This window comes from Homo sapiens, chromosome 10, assembly GCF_000001405.40.
Source record: "Homo sapiens chromosome 10, GRCh38.p14 Primary Assembly".
Classification (NCBI taxonomy): Eukaryota; Metazoa; Chordata; class Mammalia; order Primates; family Hominidae; genus Homo; species Homo sapiens.
The window spans coordinates 78,428,016-78,440,526 of NC_000010.11; the positions used below are offsets into that span (position 1 = coordinate 78,428,016).

The window sequence follows — 12,511 nt, forward strand, 5'->3', positions numbered from 1 at the left end:
GTTCTGTGAGCTCTCTAGCAAATTAATTAAACCTGAGGAGAAGGTCATGGGACCGCCTAGTTTAGATCTGGTTAGTCACAAGGTATAAAACCCAGACTTACAATTAGCATCTGAAGTTGATGGGGACAGTCTTGTGGAACTGAGTCCTTCACCTATGGGATCTGACCCTGTCTCCAGGCAGATAGTATCAAACTGAATTGAATTATAGGACACCCAGCTGGTATCTGCTGAAGAACTGGTTGTTTGTGGAAAGAAATCTTCACACATTTTGGACACAGAAGTTTTCTGTGTTGTGTGCAAGGGTAGACAGAAAACAATGTGTTTTTTTCTTCAGAATGGTAGATCACTGAATATTGTCCTTTATGTCACTGAGGCTCTGTTTAATTTATTAGCTTTTTAAAAATATCTCTTTGCTTCTATTTGGATAGTTCTTGCCTTCTATTCAATCTTATTTACAACTTCTTTTTGCGATGTTTAATCTGCTATTAAGCCTGTCTGGTGAATATTCCATTTTAGATATTATATATTTTTTGGCTCTAGGTGTTCTGGATTAAAAAAACCTTTTATCTCTTCAGTGTGCTATGTTTTTCTTAAGCCTTGAATATATTTATAATAGCTGTTTTAAAGTTCTTTTCTGCGAATTCTATTACCTCTATAATTTCTGGTCTTGATTCTATAGGTTTGTCCTATTGAAATTTATTGGGTTACTTTTTAATTTTTTTTTTTTTGCATGTTTCGTTATTTTTAATTAGATGCTGGACATTGTGTGTTTGAAGTTATTGAATGTCTAGATTTTGTTGTGTGTGTGTGTTTTTTTCCCCCATAAAGCACATTGAGTTGTGTTCTGATAGCCAGTAGTTCACTTTCAGGTTATCTTGCACTTTTGAGCTTGGTTTTAAGTTTCATGGGATCTAAAGTAGTCTTTACTCAAAGGACAGCTAAGTTATACCACCAAGGTGTGCCTTTTATGAGACTTTTCCTAAATGCTCCAAGTGTTTGATAAGGTTTCTTTATTTGGTCAGAACTCAAATGTCTCTCAACCATACCAAGCTTTAGTATTTATTCAGCTTACAGTTCCCTGGTAGTTACTCCCTGTCTGGTGATTGTTCTTTGCCTGGCTTAATGGAGTCTTTACACATTTATAGCATAGTCTTCAGTCAAAGACTCAGGGGATCTTCATGACAATATCTGGACCTCCTCCTCTGCATAGCCTCTTCCTCTTTAGTTTTCTGCCCCACAAGTTCCAGCAGCCTCAGCCTTCCCAAACTTACATCTCTGTCTTTTCAGCTCACAGAGACTGCACGATGTGCTTGGGTTCTTGTGAACAATCGCCATGTCTGCTAAATGCTTCTAGGCAGAAATCTGCAGAATTGTAGGGCACATCTCCTTTGTTTTCTTTTTCTTAGTCACTACACTACTATGATGCCTGTTGTTCAGTGTCTGAAAACATTCGTTTTACGTATTTGTCCATACTTTTCCCCCATTTTAGATGATGTGGTAGGCAGAATATGGTCCCTTAAAGATGTTCACTCTGGAACTAGTGAATATGTTATGATATGTAGCGAAGGCAAGTTAAGATTGCAGATAAAATTAAGACTGCTAGTAAATTGACTTTAAAAGAGAGAGGTTATTTTGGATTATAATTGAAAAGGCTCCTAAAAGTGGAGGAGGAAGACAGAAGAGAGAGAAGCAGAAGGATGGCAGTGTGAGAAGGATTTGGCCCAACCTTGCTGGCTTTGAAGTTAGAAGAAAGAAAACATGAGCCAAGGGAAGCAGAAGCTGGAACAGGCAAAGAAATGGATTCTCCTGCAGCTTCCAGAAGGAACACAGCCTGCTGACACCTTGATTTCAGCCCACTGAGACTCATTTTGACTTCTCACCTCCAGATCAGATAATAAATGTATATTATGTGCAGCAGGAATAGGAAACTAATACAAGTGGGAGAGCTGTTCTGGTACTATCACTCTATCATGACTGAGAGGAGACATTTACTATTTTTATTTTTGTTTGTTTGTCTTTAAGAAAAAGATACTTGAGACCCACTACAGATATTTCGATTTGGTCAGAACAGGGGCATTAAGATTTTTTAAAATTTTCTTATTGTTCTAATGTGCACTCAAGGTTGAAAACCACTGACCCAGTCCAACCCTGTCAATTTACAGCTGAGGCCACTGAAGTGAAGAAGAGTTAGAGGCAAATGCGAGTGAAATTTCAGTCTGTTGCAAAAGACTCTGCCTAGAGGAAGGAGGGTAGGATATATGTTCTCCTAGGAGGCTGTCTTTTGGCATCCAGGCATTTACAATTGTGGCAGGAGGTCCGCAATGAACTTGGATGAGGGGTGTATGTCCTCAAAAATACAGGAGCAAAGACCAACCTATTAGCTATGCAAAACTGTGGATTTCTGCAGCCCTAAAATCAGTTCTATCAGCCTTATTACCACAGAAGTGCCCACCTATAGACCTGGTGTGAGTCATTGGTTGGTTTTGATCAAGTTGATGAGAATTCTGCTACTTAACAGACTTCAGCACTCTGGAGAACCACAGGGTGCATTCTGCCAATGCTCATATCAATTCCTTCTTCAGGTTTACATGGCAAGGGTGGCTCTCAGATCTCAATCATTCCATGCATTTAAAAAAACAGTATTTTCACCGAGCCAGCAGGTGCCAAACATTGCCTAGATTTTGGTGTTCAGTAGTGTTCTGCGATTTATTGATTCATGTTCAAAATTTAAGAGATTCTAAGATTCATTCCTTCATGAGCTCATTTGGTAAAAGTGTTTCTCCTTTCTTCTTCCCACCACTTTTCCATCCCTTCCCTTTCTTTCCCTTCTGTTTTCTCCCTTTGTAAAGTTAACCTTAGATTGGTCACATCTGGGCAGGTAGGTGCCTCCGCCAGTGGAGCACATTCAAGTTAATAAGGAGTTGGATCATTCCAGGACACCTTGACTGGAATATTTTGCTAATCCCACAATGTCTCTATATGGTTCTTAGCTGCTACCCAGCTTAGGATTTTAGGCTGATAACATCTTACACCTTTCTGTAGATGGTCAGATATTGCCTCTCTGCTTCTCTTTCCACAGTGTGTTCTGAGCTTTTCTTGGACCTCAACTTGCTGTTTAGTTTAGGAAATCTTAGCCAGCAAGCTGGCACTTTGTAGGTGGCTGGGGAAAGATGCAGAAGGCGAAGACAAAAGAGATGGTTAACACTTATGGAGTGTGTAAAACTGACCTGAGTGCTTGACCCTCAGAGCCAGGCTATAGACGGGTATTAAATATTACCTTTATTTTATATGAGAGGAGACCCAGGCACAGAGAGATTAAGTAACTTTTGTAGGAACACATAATAAATAAGTAGAAGATCTGGGATTTGTGCCCAAGCAGTCTAGAGTCTTACGTTTACTCTACTGTTAAAGGATCAGCCCTGCATTTGGATTAAGGTATGTAGCATCTCAAAGCCATGCTCCAAAGGACCAAAAGGCATTGCCTTTGCTGCTGGCCATATGCATGAGACCTCCTCCATAAGCTACCACAATTGAGTAAAAACATCAGTTGTCATAGTCTCTGCATTCAGACAGAGTCTGAATTTAGAGCCTCTATGTTCTAGTGTGTGCCCCTGGCTATCAGTTTTCTCATCTATAAAATGGGGCTAATAATACCTCTTTCAGAGAGCCATTATGAGGATTCAAATGAAATTGTGTATGTAAAGTGCCTGGCCCGGAGGGCCCACCACTTATTCAAGGGTGGACCTAGGGGAAGAAACGCTGCAAACTATTGATTGGCATCAGTGAAGAGCCCTAGAAAATGGAATGAAACAGTTTTATTTTTTACTTTTTATTTGAAATTAAAAAGTTACAAATATAGCACAGAGGGTTTCTGTACACCTTCACCTAGCTTTCCCTAATGTTAGCATCTTGTATAATTTATCAAAATCATTACATTAACAACATTGGGCAATACTGTTACTAAAATACAGACTTGATTCAGAGTTCACCAGTTTTTCTCTTAATATCCTTCCACTATTCCAGGATCCAATCCAGGCTCTCACGTTTCATTTAGCTGTCATTCTCCTTAATCCCCTCCAATCTGTGATGGTTCCTCAGAGCATCCTTGCCGTCCATGACCTTGACATTTGAAAGGGTACTGATGGGTGATTTTGTAGAATGCCCCTCAGTCTGATTGTCCCCCCATGATGAAATTGATGTTATGCATTTTTTGGCAAGAATACTATATACATGAAATGTCTTCTCTGTGCATCCTATCGGGGCGTGTGGTGATGTTGCTACGTCTTATTACTGGTGATGTTAACTTGGTCACTTGATTAAGGTGGCACCTACTGGGTTTCTCCACTGCAGATTACTGTATTTTCTTTCCCCTTTATAATTAGTAAATCTCTTGGGGGAGATACTTTGAGACAATTCGAACATGCTGCTTCTCCTCAAACTTTCACCCATTAATTTTAGCATACATCAGTGCGTCTTGTCTGCAATAATTATTACTGTGGTGTTCTAATGGTGTTTTTTTATTTCCCTTGTTCATGTCACATTTATTAATTGGAACTCTTCTGTAAGGAAGAGCTGCCTTCATTTATTTATTTATTCAGGTACTTATTTATAACCATGTGGACTCCTGGATTTTTATTTTATTCTAGGAGTTATAATTTGATACTCTCATGATGTATTTTGTTGCTCAAATTGTTCCAGCCTTGGGCCTTGGGGACTCTCTTAGTTGTTTCCTCTGTCCTTTTGGCGTGTGGGGGCAGCATTTACCAGATCAGCCAAGGCCCAGAGCCCAGGGCACACAGTGGAGGTCTGGGCAGCTGGAGTTTGCTTTAAGGCTGTGAGAGCTGGGAAGTGAGAGTGGAATCAGAAAAGATGGTGGTGCTCCACACCCCTTCTCCATGTAGAATCTGCCTCTGTAAGACCCACTCAACTGTGACATTTCACCGGACCAATCTTATTTCCCTGACTCATTCTACAGCTGAGGAAATTAAGGCCCCAGGAAGAGAAGGGCCTTGCTGGAGGCCACAGAGCAAGTTGGGTGGAAGGAGAGATTGGGGAGCAGCATGGGCTGGGGCTTTGTCCTTGCCATCCCAGGCTGACACCCCTTCCCCCACACAGTGCCTGACTGCAGAGTAGCCTGTTCCAGAATCTGGGCCGCCAAGGGCCGAGGAAAGTTTGTTCCATCAGCAGAAGCCCAGGAAATGGGAGGCTCCTGGTGCAAAGTTTCTTCAGGAAGCCCTGGGGCTGTTGGCTCTGCTCCTTCTCCTTTTTGCCCAGCTGAAAGGGAGGGGGTATTCTGTTCCAAATCTCCAGCTCCAGCTCAGTGGGGGCCTCTAATCCCCTTCTGGCTCAGGGACACGGTCAGCCAGGTCTGGTGGAGGTGCTCCCAGAGAGCAGATTTCTGCAGGCCTGGGAACAGGGTGCCATGAGGCCCCAGGCCTATCCATACAAGGGCTGGGAATGTTAGCAGCAGAGTGCAGAAAACAAGCACAGGGTTAGAGCTGACAATAAGTTCTGTGAGAGTCAGGGGCTATGTTAACAGAGATCCAGTGTGCAGAACGAGGAAGGTGACAAGCCGATACAATATACAGGACCAGCCTGCAGTAAATTCTCCAACATCTGAGCTCTTCCAGTCCTGACTATCTGCACAAATACTAGGCTCCAGGCTGTATGGAGACATATCACACCCATGGAAAATAGAAAAATCTCCCTGAAATCCTGGAAGCACATACGGAAAGCATTGGTTGTGAGGTCTGCTCAACACTTTCTTACCTACAGGGAGCTTTCCTTTCTAACACACATTTAATCCTCACTGTCTCCATAAGGCAGGCAGGACAGGGGTTAGGATCACCATTTTACAGATGCCGCAGCTAAAGCCTGAAAGAGGAAGGGGTGTGGCCTTCTCCAGGGAGTGCAGTGATTCCAGAAAGAACCAGACCTTGCAGTCTTATGTTCTGGGCTTTCCCACAACAGTAGCCTGTCTTTGGGGCTGGTTCTCCGATATCTGACATAACCAACAGCCACGGGTGAGCAGTCCCTGGGTTCCGTAGGGGCTTTGGAAAGTCCTCTGAGCATTACTAGTGCTTCTGCAGGGGGGACTGTGAGCATGGGTGGATCGGGACAGAGCAGAGGCCCCCCACAAGAGCCATCAGCGCTGACCAGCTGAAGGACTGAGCAGAGTGTGTGTGTGCAGGTGTGTGTGTGCACATGACCGAGGGGGTGGCATGTGCTTGGCAGGGTCTGCAGAGAGGCTGTTGGCCAGGTCTTCACTCTCATCTGGCTTTGGCTTCATACTTCCTTCCCTGGCAGGACTGGGGAGGCCAAAGCGCACAGATGGCCATCTGGCTGGCACTTTAGGACACGGTCCAGTGCACACTTGCAGACTTCTCCTCCCCCACTCCTTCTCTGCTTCGGTGGCTCTATCAGCTCTGCAAAGGAGAGACAGGGCCAGGTCAGAGATGCACCGTGGAGTGGTCTGCAGGGGGCTCAGGGCACAGCACTTCTGGCTTCAGAATTTTAAAAGTTCAGTGCTGGGGAGGATGAGGACAGTTCCTCCCAAGCATCACTGCAGCAACTCTGTGTCTTCCAGAGTTTTGGGGGTGGAGGATACAAGAAGGGGAGGGAGGTAAGAGGTTCTGGGGCAAGAGGTGAGAGCTGGGGATGGGAACTAGCTCTGGTCCCAGCTCACATGCCTACATACTCCGTACCCCGGCCAGATAGCCAGATTTTGCAACAATGAGTGGACATCCCAGTTAAATTTTCATTTCAGATAAACCATGAAAATTGTTTAAGATACGCATGTCTCATTGCAATATTAGGACATGCTAAAAAATTATTGGCTCTTTAACTGCAATGCAGACTTACCTGGGCACCCTGTATTTTATCTAGCAATCTTGTGCCCTGGGTGTGTGGGATGGTGGACCCTCTGTGGGCCTTTGTTGCCTGCCAGCATCACGAAGATGATGGGTAGGGCCAGGGACAGTGGAGGACCCACCTTGTCCGTGGGGATGGATTCTTCCTGTTTCATACCAGGCCCATTGTCCAGTGATGGGCAGGGCAGGCACCTCGAGAGTCCATGGAGACGTGTCGGGGAATCAGTGAGTCAGACCTGCTCTCACAGAACCCCCAGTTTCCTCTCCCCCTCACGGAATGGGTCAGCCTGAGTGAACTGCTGGCACTGTTGCACGAGAGGACCAGCTCAGGGGCTGTCCTGGGTCACGAGGGTGCCCTTTCAAAGGGTCCTGCACTGTCTGCCTATTTCAGGACTTCTCCTGCTTGTCATCTAACCCTGTTCTTGACAACTGCAGAAGGAGGCCAGAGAGGGGAATAGGATTGCTAAGGCCACACAACACGTAGTGATGAAGCCAGAAGCAGCCCTCCACCCACCCAACTCCCTGCCCTGTGTCCTTTGGGAAAATACCTGCCTGGCCCTGCACAGTGTTCCCTGAGCAGAGGAGGGTTATCCTTGGGACCATGGGGGTTCTGCCCAATGAAGCCTAATAGAGCTTAGAGGGGGTTGCCCAAAATGTGTTACATTTCTTGCAGCCAATCTGGCCTTGCTAACCGCTTAAGCACAAACAATTCCATATGTCCAACGGGCTGATTAGCCACAGAGAGATGGGAAGGGGCCGGTCACAAATAAGGATCTATATTAACGAAAGATCCAGTGATAGAGGTCCAGCTGAAGAAAATTAAAAAGATTGTGTTTTCAAACACTGCCCCCCAACAGAGGAATTTTTCTAGCTACAAGTGAGTGCCTTACAAATTTCAGACACTAATGTATTGACAAAAACAAACAAACAAAAGTTGAAATGCAGGAAACCTCCTGGGCCCGATAGAAATCTCAATGAGGTCCTATCTGCTTGGGTTTGTTAAAAAAATGCAACTAACAATAATATCTGACACAAAATTCTTCCATGGTCTGGACGCCTCTCATCCATTGTTCTCTGGAAAAATGTCTCTTTAAGCATCTGCACGTTGGCGGTCGTTAGGGGGAAAGAGCTCAGCAGAGTTTTGTTTATTTATTTATGTCCTTTTGCTGTATTCTGATAAAGCACAGGCAGGCAGGCGGCACAGCATCTGGCTTCTTGGAAAAATGGCTGCATGGAGGATTGGGGGCCCTGGCTCCAGACACAGGGGCATGAGTGGGGGTCTCAGAGCACACAGTGATTCCATCCTCTCCAGCAACTGGTGCTGCAGTGAAATCTCCCAGGGGTCCCAGCTTCCCCTGCGGACATTCCCCAGTCCTTCTCGGGGCACCCCCTGCTCTCTCCTTAGTTCTGAGGACGAGGCAGCCTGGCTAGTGGAAAGCCATGAGTTTTGGAGTCTGGCAGACTAGGGCTTAAGTGCTGCTTTCACTCCTGATTAGCTGGGGGAGGCAGAGTGAGGAGCCACATACCTCCTGGCCTCCCTGGGAAACGAGTTGATCCTTCCTGCCTCGCATAGCCATCAAAGGGTTCACTAGCACAGGGGACAGGCACTGACGACTGTCACCTCATTTGCCCAGTGGGATGAAGCCTTCCTCCCCTGACCCAGCATGGATTCAGCCTAAAGATGGTCTCTAGGTTGCACCAGGGAAGCTCCTGCAGGCACGGACAGTGCCTCTCTCCCTCCAGACAGACCCTGTATTAGGAACCCGAGTGAGAACATAAAATTTACTTGCTGAGTGTCTTCCAATGGCCCAGGAAAGGCTCTAAAGATCGGGGTGTTTCATTCCAGGGAACTGCCTGGGACATAAATGTGAATTACTGCAGTTCTGCAGCGTCCAACAATAGCACCGGTGTCCACAATAGAAACTTCAGCCATGGCGGCTTTGCACACTGTGGCTACTTTGCTAAAGACCTCATGTAAATCAGCATGCCCCCCAGCTGCCACAGAAAACCCCAAGTTCACTTCCCCCAACTCCACACTGCTCAGATGCCGGAAAGTTCTTCCTTCTGTGGAACAGATCATCTGTCTCCTTTAGCTTCTGCACATTTACCTTGCTTTTGCCCCACAGAGACTCCCAGGCCAATCTGGCCTCCTGCTTGGGGACAAGTCACCCAGGGGATTAAAGACAGATCTCAGGCCCCACGGACCAGTCCTGCCCTCAGTCTGCATCCCTGCTCCCTCTGTGGTCTTCGTTGGAGGGTCTCTGCCTGCCTCCTGCCCTCCCCTTGCCTATCTCTGGTCTCTCTCCTCCAGGACTCAGCTCCATGACAACAGGCCTCTTTCCTTGGCAGGAAACCCGTGCTGAAGCCTGGCCATGTCCAAGAGTGCCAATCCAAGAGCAAAAACACAATCCATTTCATTTCTGTAACCCCAGCTTCCTGATTCCCAGACTATGGTGGAGCTGATGTATTCTTAAGTAGGAAGACACATTTATTTCCTCTTTAATCAAACCAGGAAATTACCTGGAAGATTCAGAGAGTTTGAATCACTTGTGTAAGGTCACACAGCAACTCAGTAGTCCGGCCATCTTGGGAAACCAAGACTCTGACCTCCTGGACTGGGTTCCTTCCTCGAGAACCTCTGTGGTAACCAGTTTGGCTCTTCAGGCTGGGGAGGACCTGTAGCTGACAGCAATCGACGAGATTCAGTGCTATGTCTATTGTAAGTGTCTGTGTTGAGAAAACGGAAACCACAGAAAAACCATCAGACCTTCCCAGGGCTACAGACACACTGGGCTTCTGTCCACCTGCTCAGAGTCCAACATGGATCTGGAAATCAGCTCACCTGAAGGCCCTGCAGCCCAGTGCAATGTGTCTAAGAGCAGGAGAAGGAGAGGAAAAGCATGCACAGCTCTCCTGGCTCCCCCACCCCCAGAGGAAGTCCAAATCATTCAGAAAAGCAGATACCAGAATATTCTGAATTTCCAGTAAGGTTTCCCTTCCCAGGAAACGTGTGGTCTGGGGAAGGACAGAGACACCTATGGGTGGGGCCGCGAGCCCCTCCGGCTTCACAGGAGGAACATTTCCTGAGCACCATGGCCCCTTTCATTTGTAGCCTGCCACCCCCAGTGGAAGTGCATTAAAAACACACACACACACACACACACACACACACAATGCTTCAGAGGTCTGCCTTTGCCAGGAACTCTAGAAATAACTCGCTGAGAAACATCTCCATCTCATACTCACCACCTACAGAGAAAACGGTCCAATACGCTGGCAGCTTGGCATGGGGAGAGGCTCAGAGAGGGGAATGCAGGAGTGAGGCTGTGTGGGGGGTTGGTGGGGGCCCCACGGCTCACAGGCCATAGCTGTCAGGGCCCTCTGCACATCTGGGCTCAAACACCGGCCCTGCCACCTGCTGGCAGTGTGACTTTAGGAGAGGTGAGCACCCTCTGGGCTTTGGGGACCTCATCTGTAAATGGGGCTGATCACGTATGACCTTGTCCACAGAAAAGTTACAGCATGCCGGGTAGGAACAAAGTGCAGCTGGTTCTGGAGTCCAGGCAGGATAAGGGAAGGTCCCTGGATGAGAAAGGACAATGCAGGATCAGAGGGGCCAGTGGTGGCAGGTTCCTCTCATTTCCTCCTACTGTGAATGCATTGTATTCTCTGGGACTTTTGGTCTGTTATCAGGAGAGAAGGACAAATGATGTGTTAAGTCTAGCTAGCACCCCTATTGTGAAGATAGGGAAACTGAGGCCCACAGAATGTGGGTGTCTTCCTGAAGTCACAGAAAGGGAAGCTGCTGAGCTAGGCTCTTGCCACCCATGCTGGACTGCTGCCACCCATGCTGGACTCTGCATGTCCTAGCAAACCCCTTGGGGAGCTGTGCACCTCTGAGGGCATGAAGCCTGGGCACGTCTGCAGGAATCCAGAATGTGTTGCCACCCGGGCCTGTCTTCTGCATTTCCCTACAAAAGTGACCAGCACTGAAGTCAAATGGACAGCTAGAGAGGGGAAAGGGACCCAGCTCTGTCCCTTTCCAGGTTGTGGCATGGTGCATGGGGCTTGACTCTGTGGGCATCATCTGCCTATCTGTGAAATGAGGACATGACTCTTACCTCCTAGGACCACTGGTGAGCATTAGTCATTCATCAAACAACTACTGATGGGTATTGATTGCCTAAGTTCCAGCCACTATTCCTGGAACTGGACAACATCAGAGAGCTAGGCAGGGGCTCTGTGCACACGCTTCTCCCTCTCTAGCGAGGCAGGCAGCCATGTGACAAGCAAAAGAGAAACACGCAGGATCATTTCACATTGAGATAATAATAAACAGTGCAGTGTGAGGGCAAGTGAATGGTGTGCGTTGGGCTGGGAGCTGTTTGAGGATGAGAGGGAGGCAGGGGGCGACAGCACCTGCCAGGTTGTAGAAACCACAAGTGCCAAGATCTTGAGTGTGGTGGGAGTGGGGAGGGGATGCCACGGGGAAGTAGCAGGGCCTGCTGTGAGGCTGAGCCGGGCACACCAGTGCTGGATGCTCCATCACGTTCGGGCTGGATGCCATGCAGGAGTCTGGGGGCAGCCTTCACAGATGCCCCACACTTTGTGGGCCCAGGCAGGAATCTGGGCAGCACAGGCTGATGTGTGGGCTCTCTCGGGGCACAGGTGCCTGACCCAGGCCTGGTGGGAAGGTGGACGTCGATGTCACAGAGTGTCTGGAAGGTTTCCATCTGCCTCTGGTGGGCTGACAGCAGACAGGGTGAAGCCAAAGGACAGGGAATGTAAATTGCTGAAATCACCTACCCCTGGAGCCTTCCCAGATAACATAGGCATTCTGAGGAGAGGTTGTGGTAGAGACACAGAACAGGAAGAGAGAAACCTACAGAGCAGACTGCTTGTTTGGATCCACAGTTCCAGGTGTGCTCTGCAGATCACCAGTTCCCTAGTCTATTAGTCCGTTCTCGAATTGTTATGAAGAAATGCCCAAGACTGGGTAATTTATAAAGGAAAGAGGTTCTTATTTTATTTTATTTTTGAGATGGAGTCTTGCTCTGTCGCCCAGGCTGGAGTGCAATGAAGTGATTTTGGCTCACTGCAACCTTCACCTCCTAGGTTCAAGCGATTGTCCTGCCTCAGCCTCCTGAATAGCTGGGATTACAGGTGCAACCATGCCCAGCTAATTTTTGTATTTTTTTTTCTTTTTTTTTTTTTTTTAGCAGAGACGGGTTTTTGCCATGTTGGCCAGGCTGGCTCGAACTCCTGACCTCAGGTGACCCACCTGCCTCGGCCTCCCAATGTACTGGGATTACAGGCGTGAGCCACCGTGCCTGGCCAGAAAATAGGTTTAATTGGCTCTTGGTTCTGCAGGCTGTACAGGGAGCAGACTGGCTTCTTTTTCCGGGGAGGCCTCAGGAAACTTCCAATTACGGTAGAAGACAAAGGGGGTGCTGGCACTTCACCTGGCTAGAGCAGGAGGAAGAGAGGGGGAGGTGCCACACACTTTTAAACAGCGAGATCTTGTGAGAACTCACGATCACAACACAGTACCAAGGGGAAAATCTGCCCCCGTGATCCATCCACCTCTCCCTAGGCCCCACCTTCAGCAGTGGGGATTACAATTCAACATGAGATATGCATGG

General features: G+C 47.5%; 1 long non-coding RNA gene across 1 annotated transcript in view, besides 1 other annotated feature; it reads right to left on the bottom strand.

Moving 5' to 3' along the window:
• Positions 1-3,813: 3,813 nt before the first annotated feature.
• LOC107984245 (uncharacterized) overlaps positions 3,814-12,511 on the bottom strand; it is a 29,949-nt gene continuing 21,251 nt past the window's right edge. Inside the window, exons 2-3 of the long non-coding RNA XR_001747513.2 lie at positions 9,390-9,596; positions 3,814-6,425 (exon numbers count right to left, since the gene is read on the bottom strand). This is a non-coding gene — a long non-coding RNA (uncharacterized LOC107984245). The remainder of the gene's footprint in view (positions 6,426-9,389; positions 9,597-12,511) is intronic.
• Positions 7,817-8,111: a silencer, noted in NCBI's record as "tiled region #14781; HepG2 Repressive non-DNase unmatched - State 23:Low". NCBI's record gives its function as "represses a minimal TATA promoter and a strong SV40 promoter by Sharpr-MPRA in HepG2 cells {active_cell/tissue: HepG2}" and the evidence as "EXISTENCE:reporter gene assay evidence [ECO:0000049][PMID:27701403]".